This window comes from Homo sapiens, chromosome 9, assembly GCF_000001405.40.
Source record: "Homo sapiens chromosome 9, GRCh38.p14 Primary Assembly".
Taxonomy (NCBI): domain Eukaryota; kingdom Metazoa; phylum Chordata; class Mammalia; order Primates; family Hominidae; genus Homo; species Homo sapiens.
The window spans coordinates 125817137-125831361 of record NC_000009.12 but is presented as its reverse complement, the minus strand read 5'-3'; the positions used below and the strand labels follow the sequence as shown (position 1 = coordinate 125831361).

The window sequence follows — 14225 nt, the reverse complement described above, 5'->3', positions numbered from 1 at the left end:
ATCCAGGCACTGGGTCATCCATAGATGGTAAAACCATTAGGTGAAAGAAGGGGAACTTTACAATGAAGAAATCAGGCTGGCACTACCTAATCCACTGATCAATCAGTCTTAGCATTGCAAAAAGTAAGATGACTAAACGTTATGGCTGATGTGATGCATGATGAATCTAATCAAGCTTTTAGATCTAATTCTAGTCTAGAAGAAATTCAGCAAATAGAAGCGTAAATTAAATACTGCCACAAGGAAATATCAGCCAAATCTAGAATTGGGGCATTCTACAGGAAAAACATTCTGATTTTTTCAGCAAGTCAATGGTATATGAAAAAGGACAGGTGGGGGGCAGGAGGAAGGAATGTGAATCTGCACGGAGATACAAAACAAGTATAACATATTAGTGGTTAAAGCTGACTGGTGGTTATACAGGAGTTCATTGTACCCTCTACTTTTGTGAATTTGGGGGAAATTTTATAATAAAAAGTAAGACATACACACCAATGAACAACAACAACAAAAAAACCACAATGACTTAGAATCAAACAGCTAGAGTTTGAATCGCAGCTCTACACTTACTGTGAATGTGGACAAGTTACTTAGCTTCTTTAAACATGGTTCTCCTTCTATAAAATGGGAAAAATATTACCTCCATTTATTAAGTTTGAATGAGATAATAGACAAAATGTGTCTAGTACATAAAGAGCCCAGTAAATGTTAACCACTGTCATCATTAGTATTAATGTTATTATTATTATTACTATTATAGAGGATATGATAGCAAAGGCTTCTGTATAGTTCTTTATGTAAGTAGCCAATTTGGGGGGTTCAAAACTCTTATTTCATTTTCAAAAACACATATGATACACAAATATAAAACACCTATAAATAAGTACTTTTCTATTACTCAGCTTTTTGAAAATTAATAAACACAAACATTACTATCACCAATGTAACATTAAAGAAGTTTGTTTGTTTGAAATTTTATGCTATACTTCAGTTAAATTTAACTGACACAGTGCTATCAATATTGTATCTATAATTCTTCATAGTTCTATTGTTAAATTTACATTTTCCTTAACATGAACAATAAAATAGATTATATAACTAATAGCAAATCTAAGAAACATGCAAGGCAATATTTTTCAACTAAAAAATAAAAATATTCTTATTTCTAAACAAAATCAGTTGAATGCTCATATTACGTATGCTTTAGATAGCAAAAAATAACGCTTTTGTAAATAAAAAATTATACTGAACTCTACAGTGCTGAGACAACTGATAAATTTTTCCTTTCACTTTTAATCAAGCTTCCTGTTGTAAGAGCTCAGCAGACAGTGACGCGAGACACTGCCTCCCAACTTCAGTTCACCTTTGCAGTTCCACAAGGGACACCATGTCAAGATTGTTCAGCTTTTTTGATGAGTGCTGCGTGGGTAACTAATGTGTAAATGCAGATACGTATAGAAAGCAGTTTTGACAGTGATGTATTGCAACTGGTTCCAGATGTCGGTAAGGGATGCTTGGCCAGGCATCTAGAGCTCCACTGCCACGGAGCAGCACCAGGACCAAACCAGTCTTGAAAAGACCATGGCACTCTAACTCTTCAATTAGAATCTTCTTAAAACAATTATTTTGCTTCTCTTCTTTCAGAAAAACACTAAAATATTACTGCTTTGTTGCTCATTTTTTTTAATTTAAGGAAAGAGCTGACATAACAAGCCTAATAGTTTGGCTTTCAAAGGAAACTTCAAAGTGAATGGAGGAAATATTAAAAATGAAGCACATACTCATCTCCTATAATGAGTTTTTTAACTAAATTGCACCAAAACTTACGTATGTACAAAAGTTTAAAGCAACCCCTGACTAGCAAATTAAATGTTGAGATTACTCACCTAATATTAGAATTCTTAAGAATATCATCATAAATATGATACATATAATTATAAACCAAATCAGCAAGCTTATTTTCTCTTGCTGTCCAGAAACGTGACAAGTGTATATTAGCTAAAGAAAATGTACCTCGGTTGCATTTGACTTTAAAAATTAAATAATGAATCTTGTAATGATGTAGTTTGAGAATAAAATTCTAGAAATGGAAGACTGACAAGCAGCATGTGAATAAATGAATTTCTGGGCCACTAGCTAATGAAATACAGAGAGATGTATACAGAAATTCCAAAGTGAAAATATGTTATTACAATCATGCAACGAATCGTCTTTAACATTTAAAATTGATAAAGTTGCACTTTCTACATGAAAAATGTTGTAGCATGGCTCCAACACAAGCATTTGGTCTGATGGGAGTTTTTTCAAACAACCTGTCTGTCTCCCTCTTCTTTCAATACCAGACTCCCAGCTCCAATCAAAAAACCTCTCAGGGGATCACCTACAGCTACATTCTCGCCATGTGGTTTTGATATAAGGCATTTTCTCATTGATCAAGGGAGCTGCAGAAGCATGTGTTCTGTTTATCCTAGAACAAAGAAGGCGACTTACATTACTGATGTTCAGAATCAAATCAAAGGTTTTGAAATACTTTTAATAGGAATAAAGGCAAACAAATCTGTCAAACGACGTTTAGACTCAACGTTCCTTTTGATTTTCTAACAAATTGAATAAACTGAACATTCTAAACATATTACCAAACTTTTAATCTGTGAGAAGACCTTGTGGTCAATAACTTCCTATCATAAGTAAATTGTTTAACTATAGCTCAAAGTTACTATGTTTGGTCTGATATGACATGATATGCTAATTGAGGGTAGAAAGTAGTTTAAAAAACTGACCAATCTTATTTTTTCCAGATGGATCATCAAATGTTTTTCTAATCTTGCATTTTCTTAAATGACCAACTGGTAAAATTGTATTACCAGTTCTAATTGGCTTAGAATACAGAATGTTTCAAGATAGCAGAAGAGCTGTATTCATTCCCATCTCCCTTCTTATAGGGCTCTGTTTTGATAAATCATTATTGTGACTTGGTTTTTGTTCTATTCCTAATAAATTATGTTTAACAAATAAAAATATACTTTAATATAGCATTTCTATATAAACCATTTGTTGCTGTAAACTATGGAAAATTTGTCTAGGCAGTACATATATCTCAGTATCTCTGAGTATATATATCTCAGATCTGATAGGTCAAAAGCAAAATTATTACCCAATGAAAATGTGATGAAAATGTATTTAACTGAATGACTTCTGTGTTTATCTTGTTGGTTTACTAATAATTCAAAGTAAATCCTCTGGACAGCAAACTAGTACTCCTAAAAATACAAAATACACATCATTATATCCAGCAAAAGTCCAAACCTAAGGACTACTAATATCTGTATCCAGCAAATAAGGACACAGAAGACTAAGGTCCTAGATGAATTTAGTTTCTGATCCTTCCAAAATGCGTAGTTCCAGAACAAACCTCTGTATCAGTCTTATTACTGGTAGCAATATAAATTGGTACAACCACTTTGGAAAGCAATTTGGCAACATCAGATAAAGTTGGATATACACATACTCTATAAACCCAACAACTCTATTCCTAGTTATATACCTCAGAGGAATTCTTGCATATGGACAAAAATATGTGTACAAGCATGTTTATAATACCAAAATTTCAGATGAAATGTAAGCATCCATCAGTAGTGAAATGAATGTGAAGTTCATCTGCACGGTAGAATACTACAAAGCAGGTAAAACTAATAAAATCAATTCACGGATATCAAAATCAATGCAGTACATGTTGAAAACTGGTGAGCAAAAAATCAAGCTACAAAAAGATGTACAGTGTGTATATACGACACATAGGTATTACATATGTGTATATATACACATTATATTTGTCAATACTAAAAATACTAACATTATTTGTAAATACACGTATGTGTAGTAAAAGCATTTTTCACATGAGAAGAATATGTACCAACCATAAGATAAATAGGTACTAATTTGGGGTGGGGAAGTTAGTGAGCTGAACGGATGGGGAAACTTCAAACATATGTAAATGGATATTTTTTAAAAATAAATGTCTAAAGCAGAGATGGCAAAATGTTAACATTTATTAAACTTAACAGGAAGAAATAAAAGGCTATGTGTTTGAAATATTTCATAAGCAAAAATCAAAATGCAAAAAGTCCATATACCCTACATGGGTCTTTACTTCAGAATTACCACTAATAATTCATTCAAATACATTCATTGATATACTGCATAATTTTATTGGGTTAAAAGTTATGTCCCAATTTCACGTTCTCATTTATATGTGGGAGCCAAAAAAGTTGATCACACAGAGGTAGAGAATAGAGTGACAGACACCACAGACTGGGAGGGGTGTGGGTGGGAGGTGTGGATAAAGAGGGATTGGTTAATGGGTACAAACATACAGTTAGATTAAAAGTATAATTTCTAATGTTTGATAGCAGGGTAGAGTGACTACAGTTAGCAAGAATGTGTGGTATATTTCAAAGTAGCTAGAAGAAAGAACTTGAAATGTTACCAAACACAGAGAAATAATAAATACTTAAGGTGATGGATACCTTAAATACTCTGACTTGATCATTACACATTCTATGCATGCAACAAAATATCACATGTACACCATAAATATAGAAAATATTATGTGTCAATTAAAAAATATGTCCATAATTAAGGGTCAGAGCAATCCACTCTTCTGAATAAAGTCATCACACAATAAGTTGAACCATCTAAATACTTAGTACTGACATTACCTTTATTATATTTTTCAAATATTTAATATATCTTATGCATATATTTTCAAAGAAAAAAAGTGTGTGTCATCACCCAATAAGCTGAACTGTCTAAATACTTAGTAGTGACATTACCATATTATGTTTATGAAATATATCTTATGTATTCATTAGATATATTTTCAAAGGAAAAAATCCCATAATCACCAATGACCCTTCATTAATTTGTGAATATTCCAGACAAGCTAGAGTCGACAAGACTTATATTATCTGATTTTCAATTCTGTTTGAACTTCACATAAAAACATTTTGAAGAGAAAGGAAGGTTATTACTATATCATTTGTGACAAATAATCAAGATATGAGAATAGTAAATAAATTATTTGAATTTAAAGTTAGGAAGCACTTCTTTTTCAAAGAATCCTATATGTAAAATAATTGAGCCATGAAAAATGTTAAAACAGGTAAAAATCATGCCTCAAAAGAACCTGGTAAGATTGTGGTAAATAAAGGAATTTACTAGGCGAGAATCTCTATTCACTACAGGCAATTTTAGCTGTTTTCTCCTGGAATTAAATGTTCTATCCTAACTTCTGGAACTAGTTAAATATTAACGTTATTGCCTTTCTCAAAGATAATGGTAGAATTTAACTGGTTGAAAACTGCCACCCACAGCTAACATTTATAAAGTATCTCCCAATGCAAAATTAAACAGACTTCCTTCCAGGACATTCTAGGCAAGTTCCCAAATAAGATTCCTAAACTAAACAAAGCTACTACATTAAACTTGGCGATATCACAATCATGAATTGATCCTCTAAATGCCAAAATTGAGAGTAAAAAAGAAAAATGGACACTTGTTAGCAATACAGGATAGCAGAAGTACACAGTGATGCTTACTGATGAAATGAGGATACTTTCTAAATCAGTGGTTTTCAAACTGTGGCCCAGGTACCCGTGGGGTCACTGAGGTACCCTCAGGGCTCTGCAAGGTCAAAACTGTTTTCATAATTCATTAAGATGTCACATTTTCTGTTTTAACTCTAATTTGTTCATGAGTATACAATGAAGTTGACAACAGGCTACGTGAAGCATGGCATCACAACAGAATGCAGAAGGAAATATGAGAAAACAGCTGTTGAAGCCAGACATTAAAGAATTTGTTAAAAAAAAAAAAAAGTAAAACAATATCAATCATCTAATTTTTTATTTTGGAAATATAAGTTGTTTTTTATTTTAAAATGATACTTATGCTAACGTGTTATTGTTATTTTAAAATAAACTAATAAAATTTTTAAATTTCTAATACAGTAAATACTAATAAATATAACCCACATAAGCCAAAGCTTGCTAGGTTCTCAATAATTGTTTTTTTTTGCGGGGGACAGAGTCTCACTTTGTTGCCCAGTCTGGAGTGCAGTAGCACAATCTCAGCTCACTGCAACCTCCACCTCCCAGGTTCAAGCTATCCTCCCACCTCAGCCTCCTGAATAGCTAGGAAAATAGGTGCATGCCACCACGCCCAGCCAATTATTGTATTTCTTGTAGAGATAAGGTTTCGCCATGTTATCCAGGCTGGTCTCGAACTCCTGAGCTCAAGTGATCCACTGCCTCAGCCTCCCAAAGTGCTGAGATTTCAGGCGTGAGCCACTATGCCTGGCAATTCTCAATTATTTTTAATTTTAAATGTGGTATGGAAAGAGATCCTGAAAACAAAAAGTCCGAGAATCAGTGGCCTAAATCATAGAGTTGATACAAGGATTAAATGAACTAATGCATGTAAAGCACTTTTCACAACGCATGGCAAACAGTCAACGTTCAGTCAATGGTAGCTATCGTTATTGTTACATAACAACAGCTGCGGCTACAGATAGCAATGCTGAGATCAGCCATTTCTGGAGACTTTGTTGTCCCCCACTGTCTAGTAAGCAATGAGTATTTAAAAAAAAAAAAAAGCCAACTGATTCATCAAATGTAATTCATCATATAGATTCTAATTTAAATTCTAATACAATCAATAAGAACCTGTTAGTCTGAAAGACTGTATCTTTCTAGACCCTGTTAACTTCCTTATAAACTAGGAAGGCCTAGGACTAGACTTACAATATACCTTGGAGACTAGAGTTATCTTGTCCTTTGAGACACCTGGAAAACAGCAATGAGAAGCCTAAGTGTCCTGTGCACAACAAATTAATTAAATATGCATTCTCATAATAAAGAAAGGTATACTTTCCTTTGAAATACTGGATCAATAAGGCATCATGGAATAACGGAACTGTGGACAGGCCCTTGAGCATGCTTCTGGTTAAGATTCTTCATTCCAGGCATATCTAGCACACACCCAAGACAGATCAACAGGTACAGAGACTCACAAACGGACCAGTCATTTTTCACTCTAGTGGTTACGTAGCCCCTCTACAAATCAAACCACAATCTTTCTTACTTTCACTTTCAGGACACTTCCTTATGTTTCATCCTTTATTGATAAAGCTAAAAATAATAATAGTAGTTGTATACAGAGGTCAAACACCTGGCATCAAGCTCATAAAAATCCTTTAACCCTTTAGCCTACATTTTTTTTTTTTTTTTGAGACAAAGTCTTGCTCTGTCACCCAGGCTGGAGTGCAGTGGCACGATCTCAGCTCACTGCGACCTCTGACTCCCAGGTTCAAGCAATTCTCCTGCCTCAGCCTCCTGAGTGGCTGGGACTACAGGTGCGGGCCACCATGCCTGGCTAATTTTTGCATTTTTGGTAGAGATGGGGTTTCACCATGTTGGCCAAGCTGGTCTCGAACTCCTGACCTCAAGTCATTCACCCACCTCAGCCTCCCAAAGTGCTGGGATTACAGACATGAGCCACCGCGCCCAGCCTAGCCTACTTTTCTCTAGTCAAAACACGTTCCAAATCTTTTAACTGTTTCCCATTGGATCTGTACTTCCTTCTCTTAACCATTCTTTTCTGTCTTCTAAACCCCAAGATAAAAACATACAGAATTCTTTTTTAATCTTTCTTTCTTTCTTTTTTTAAAAAAGGAGACTGATCCAAAGTAGCTAACACAGAAATTTCATTGAGGCACTAACAGACTATTTAGCCTTTAAAACTTTATTTAACACTATTACCAAAAAAAAAAGTAATTTATCCTCCTTAAAAAGGACCATATTAACATTATATATGTTAAATTCAGTCTTTTAAAAACTATCTTTGTATCTTGAAATCAGCATTAAGATGAAAGCAAGAGATATTACTGTTGCTATGGTAATACTTCAATGAACAGCATAACACACACTGGTACATAAAAACCATTTTCTGAGCAGCATGTACAGGTAAATAAAAGTTAAATAGCACATCAACAACAATTTCCTCACAGGGTCATGACAACTTTTATTTGTGATGCTTATTTTTATATATTACAGTGACTGAAGTAAATTTGAAAATGTCAATAATCAACAGCAATGGTCAGCATTTGCAGAGGGAACCAGAGAATGTTCGTTTCTCCACTTTTCCCACAACTGTATTTTGGAGTTTCAAGAACCACAGAAGCGTCATCAAATATGACCATACCACAAACTTACACATACAAGAGGCATACTTGCTAAATAGGCAAACATAGGTGAGTTAGGAGAATTAATGAATGGTGGGAGGTTCTGACAAAGTAAAACTCACATCTTTTTTTTTTTTTTAGCTACTTAGCAAACAAAACAAAAAAACTAAAAAACCCCACAAGTTATATAACTATTGATATGGATGATCCATAAAATCCCAAAATTCAACTACTCATTATGGGGTGTTTCACAAGTATGAAGTACTGAATTAAGGTTGAGGGTATCATAATGTATTATGTGGGGTTTTAAATAATAACTCAATATAATAAGCTACTATACTGAGATACCCTGTATTAATGTACAAAAAACATTAATGAAATATATGCTTTGATTGGATTATGCAGCCTTTCTTCTACATTCAAATTACAATCCAAGTTGAACTCAAAGACAAGTTTCCTTTTAAAACATTTCTCTAAACTAGTGGAAAAAAATGTTTATAAAAATAGTGTAGTCTGAGTCTGAATAAACGGTATGCTCAGGGAAATTTCAGGTTTCAACGTAAAGAAATATACACATTTTAGAGTTTCTAAAGAAAGAGTATTATTTACAATGAAAAACCACATCTAAGGAAGAAACGTTTTTAAACTCTGGAGAACAGGGAAAAAAAGAAGAGTACCTCCTTTAAAAATAATTTTCAGTCATCAGTAAAGATCTTTCCCAGATCTTGTGTACAAGAGGAAAACCACTGCCATGGCTACGTGTAAGAGCATTCCTTATCCCCAATGCCAAATGGGCAATAGAACAGACAAAGTCCATTCTTTTAAAGCTATATGCTGTATATGCTGAGGTTAAAAATATTTACACAAAATTTTATAAAGAAGAAACAATATATTTGAGTCATAAAAATAAGTTAGCTCTCTGCCACCATTTACTACCCACCTTTAAATATTAAATTTTAATTTTACTTATTTAGGAAAAATTACATAATTCTTCATAGCACAGTTTAAAAATAACTCCACTATTAATGCAGGCCCTTTATTTAATCACAGGCTAATTTACTCCTGACAGAAAGTAAATTCCACTATTTTCTGTGAGGCTTTATGAAATTGCCATCATTTTTAATTAATTCTTAATTAAAATATATTACACCACAGCTTCTACCCATCTCTCTTGATATTCTAACATAATCAATTCAAGACCATTTACATATCATTAATTAAAAGCCTTCCTCTCTCATCCTTAAAATCATAATGAGGCTCTATTTCTCATTAGCAGCCTTTAAGGGGTAAAACAACAATACAGTCAAGAATGAATAGTAACTTGAAACAAATAATTTGTACTTTTTAAAACTATATAGTGGACAGAGCTAATTTCAAAATTTCTCAAATTTGAGAATCCTTGAATTATTTCACTGTGTTTCACAGGGGAACCACCAGAGCAACAATTGGTGATAAAATGAAACTAATCTTCAAATGAGTTAAGCAATAAATTCGGTAAGAAATAGTAGCATCTTTGAGATCTGGGAAAACCAAATAGATTTCTTTATTTAGACAATAACAAATCTTACCATGAAATACTACCAACAAGTTAGTTACTACAGAAAAGTAAAAAATAACACAATTAATATGATCTTGTCTTCATTTCCATTTTTAAAAATTAATCCCCTATATTAATCCTTTCCTTTAAAAAAGATTCTTTCTTTCAACTAAAGTCCATTGTTAGTATCTCTTAAATCTTAAGATACAATTAGAAAAATGTAATTGAAATTTATACCTCTATGCGTTTCTTATTAGCTTACCACTGTCAGAATGAAGTCTCTAGTATCTGTGGTTGTATGAAGAACTGAAACAGAGAAGCTCGTATAAAGTTCTATAATTAAACTCCAGAGCTATGATATGTTTTACACATTCTTAAATGAGCTGTAATATATACTGGTACTATAAAAAGTTATCATTTATTGGTAACGAAAAGAAAAAATTAACCACCTAATTCAGTGATTTTACCTCTTCAGGAGGCTTTAAAGGCAAACGCAGCTTGAGAGATTTATAGGAACTCATGACTTTTAACCCACTATTTTCAATATTTTGGCTATAAGTTACAAAATTAATACAACCTAAACTATGATTACATTTATGATTAGTATAAAATAAAATTTCATTGCTTTTCTTTTGCTTTGAGCAACTGTAGTAGTATTGCCTTTTGCAATACTACTTTTAAAAAGACTGAACAAAACATTAATTTGTCACATTTTTCAGAGTTTACAACTCATAATTATATTTCAAGGCCACACTACAAATACAAATAGAAAATAAGTGAGAATCAAAATGTGACCAAAAAAATACTACTACTTAATAGAGGCAAAATAAAGTCAGACTTGCAGCTTGGAAATTTTATGCAGACTTACTGTCACCAGCATTAACTATATCTAGGTGCTTCGTATCAGGCAAATCAGATTTATATCACTGTCTTCTGTCAAATGCAGGTGCTCCACCACAACTTGTCAAGACAGCCTGTCTGAATCTTCACACGTCAGACAGAATCACAGCACTTGGTGTTTTGGTCTGTTGACAGCAATTTATTTTGATGTGTTGTCACAATATGAAATTCTTCAATGCTGTGCACCATGGTGCCAGTAAGTCCCACTATACTTTTTTCTACTGTGAGATGCTACAGGTTTATTAGTGAGGGAGCGAGAACAAAGTTTTGTCTTGCTTTTAAAACCCATTTCATTTAAGCCCTAAACAGTTAATTTTAAAGTGGAGGGGAGTGCTGAATAGAAACAAGCACTGTCATGAGACATTCCTTAATCTCGGTATCAAGTGTCTTGTTTCACACCACAATCTATTTGGGTGAAGCAAAGCCAACCAGTCTGTTAGGAATAACCAGAGACCTTAAATATCCAGTAAGTCAAAATTCAGAGTAGACTACACTAAGACTAAACTAATAGCTTGGGCTACAGATCCAGTGTGGTCAATTGTTTCTTCATCTTTTTCACAGTGCTTCTTTCAATCCCACAGTAAAAACTTCAATTCAGTGCAGTGCAAACGTTTTCATGCACCCATTTATAGGTACTAGGAGATCCAGGTGAAAGAAACAATGAATAGGAATAGATTTCTTTGGGGTTTTTTAAAATTTCTTTTCCAAAATCTATACAAATTCCATATTAATCCTCCAAGAATGTGAAATAAAATTTACATGGGAAATACAAAAAAGATAACTAATTAAATGTGGCAGAAAAAAAGATAATATTCACAAAAAAGCTCAGAGTTGTTTTCAACTTTTGTAGTATTTTGCTATTTCATATTCTAAGTTTTCGTATTAAAAGATTCTAACTAAAATAAACTTAAAAGTGAAGAGTACAGGGTTACATTGTGTATATATACATAAAACACCAGTTTTATATATATATAAAACACTGGATATATATGTACACTGAAGATATATAAATCTATTCATAAATGAAGCTTTGCCCATATCTATATCTAAACCCTCTTCTTACAAGCAGGGAAGATATCAGTAGTATTTGCACGTTTCCCATTTCCATATAGTTCAGCTGATCTATTATAGCTAGAATTGAATTTTTTTTTCTTTTTTTTGAGATGGAGTTTCACTCTTGTTGCCCAGGCTGGAGTGCAATGGCATGATCTTGACTCACCACAACCTCCGCCTCCCGGGTTCAAGTGATCTCCTGCCTCAACCTTCCGAGTAGCTGGGATTACAGGCATGAACCACCACACCCAGCTAATTTTGTATTTTTAGTAGAGTCAGGGTTTCTCCATGTTGGTCAGGCTGGTCTCACTACCCACCTCAGGTGATCCGCCCACCTAGGCCTCCCAAAGTGCTGGGATTACAGGTGTGAGCCACCCCGCCTGGCCTTGAAAATTTAAAAATAAAAATTAATGTTCCTTTGGAAAATTAAAAAGTAAAAAAATAGTTTTAGATTTGGAATTATACATTAGAAAGTATGAGATTAAAAATAATTATCAGGCCAGGCACAGTGGCCCATACCTGTAATCCCAGCACTTTGGGAGGCCGAGGTGGGTGGATCACTTGAAGCCAGGAGTTCGAGACTAGCCTGGCCAACATGGTGAGACCCCATCTCTACTAAAAACACAAAAATTAGCCAGATTTGGTGGTGCATACCTCTAGTCCCAGCTACTCGGGAGGTTGAGGCAGGTGAATTCCTTGAACCTGGGAGACGGAGGCTGCAGTCAGCCGAGATCACACCACTGCACTCCAGCCTGGGCAACAGAGAAAGACTTCGTCTCAAATAATAATAATAATCATCATCATCATCATCTTCAAAATAATAAAAATAATTCTCATCAAGGCTGAGTGCAGTGGCTCACGCCTGTAATCCTAACACTTTGGGAAGCTGAGGCGGGCAGGTTTTTGAGCCCAGGAGTTCAAGACCAGCCTGGGCAACACAGCAAGACCCTGTTTCTATATATCTTTAAAAAAATAATCTCATCATGCCAGGTGTGGTGGCTCATGCCTGTAATCCCAGCACTTTGGGAGGCCAAGGCAGGCAGATCACTTGGGGTCAGGAGTTTGAGACCAGCTGGTCAACATGGAGAAACTCTGTCTCTACTAAAAATACAAAAAAAATTAAAATAAAAATTAGCCGGGCGTGGTGGCACAGACCCACAATCCCAGCTACTCAGGAGGCTGAGACAGGAGAATCAATTGAACCCAGGAGGCAGAGGCTGTAGTGAGCTGAGATCATGCCACTGCACTCCATCCTGGGTGACAGAGTGAGTGAGACTCCGTCTCAAATTAAAAAAAAAAAAAGTATGGTTATGTATGTAAGGCTCATTTTCAAACTTCATAACTTAAGTAAGAAATGTTTTTATACTTATGAGCAGGAACTCTCTGGTAATACTATATCTGGTTTTGGTTTTTGTTTTTTTTTTGGTTTTTTTGAGACGAAAGGCTTGCTCTGTCACCCAGGCTGGAGTGCAGTGGCACCATCTCAGCTCACTGCAACCTCCGCCTCCCGGGTTCTAGCTATTCTTCTGCCTCAGCCTCCCAGGTTGCTAGGACTACAGGTGTGAGCCACTATGCTAGCTAATTTTGCATTTTCAGTAGAGACAGGATGTCACCATGTTGGCCAGTCTGGTCTCGATCTCCTGACCTCGTGATCCGTCCGCCTCGGCCTCCCAAAGTGCTGGGATTACAGGCGTGAGCCACCGCATCCAGCCAATACTACACCATTTATAATATACTTTGTGAATGGTCCATCATCTACAGCTGGTGCACGCTATACTCACAAGAATTTATCTCCAAGGAATTCCACCGCAATTTTTTAAAAATCTAACAAATCTTTTCTGTGAGGTAAGTGGGTACTAGAGCAGATGGTATTTTTTCGATTTGTAGGACAAAAAAAATAAGATGTAAGACTTTACAGTGAGTTAGAATCAAAGCTGAATGAAAATTCCCAAACTTAAAATTATTTCATTAAATTACATTCTATGAGTTCTTTAGTTAGATTAGTTTAGTGGGGTAGCCATTGTGCACAATTCTAGAATGCACCGTTATCAAAGTGTATTATAAATGATGCAACCTGGAGTTGTGCAACTCAGCAAATATGAATGTAAAGAAAGACTCAATGAAATTAATGTGTGTGTGTGTTTCTTTCAGAATAGGGGACATGTATCTATCGCACAAACCCCAGTGGATTAATCTATAAGCAAAAAAATACATCATCACATAAGTCACAAGTACCTCTAGTCCACCTCCAAGATCTCTAGGAAAATAAGGCTTTGAATAGTGTTGGAATGTGGGATGCAAATACTCTTGAAGAAGATCTCTTATAGGTTTATTTTTACCTAATAAATAAGTATTGGAAGTAAACAACAAATCTGTGTGATTCAATATGTGTTGTATCTAAACTTCATCTCTAATCTACTTTAAAGAAACTAGTCACACTGATAAAACCAAACTACTTATAGGTAGCCTTTACAGACCAGTGCTAACACAGACCAA

General features: G+C 34.6%; 1 protein-coding gene across 12 annotated transcripts in view, besides 1 other annotated feature; it reads right to left on the bottom strand.

Moving 5' to 3' along the window:
• PBX3 (PBX homeobox 3) overlaps nucleotides 1-14225 on the bottom strand; it is a 220005-nt gene that overhangs the window by 136016 nt on the left and 69764 nt on the right. The window contains exon 1 of one of the 12 annotated variants that reach the window (XM_047423444.1): nucleotides 10039-10084. The exons of the other annotated variants lie outside the window; for them this stretch is intronic. The gene's annotated coding sequence lies outside the window, so the exon portion shown is untranslated. Of the gene's footprint in view, nucleotides 1-10038; nucleotides 10085-14225 lie in introns of those variants that run through there. 12 annotated transcript variants of the gene reach the window in all.
• Nucleotides 10149-10198: an enhancer, noted in NCBI's record as "active region_29015". NCBI's record gives its function as "activates an Ori minimal core promoter by ATAC-STARR-seq in GM12878 lymphoblastoid cells {active_cell/tissue: GM12878}" and the evidence as "EXISTENCE:reporter gene assay evidence [ECO:0000049][PMID:35858748]".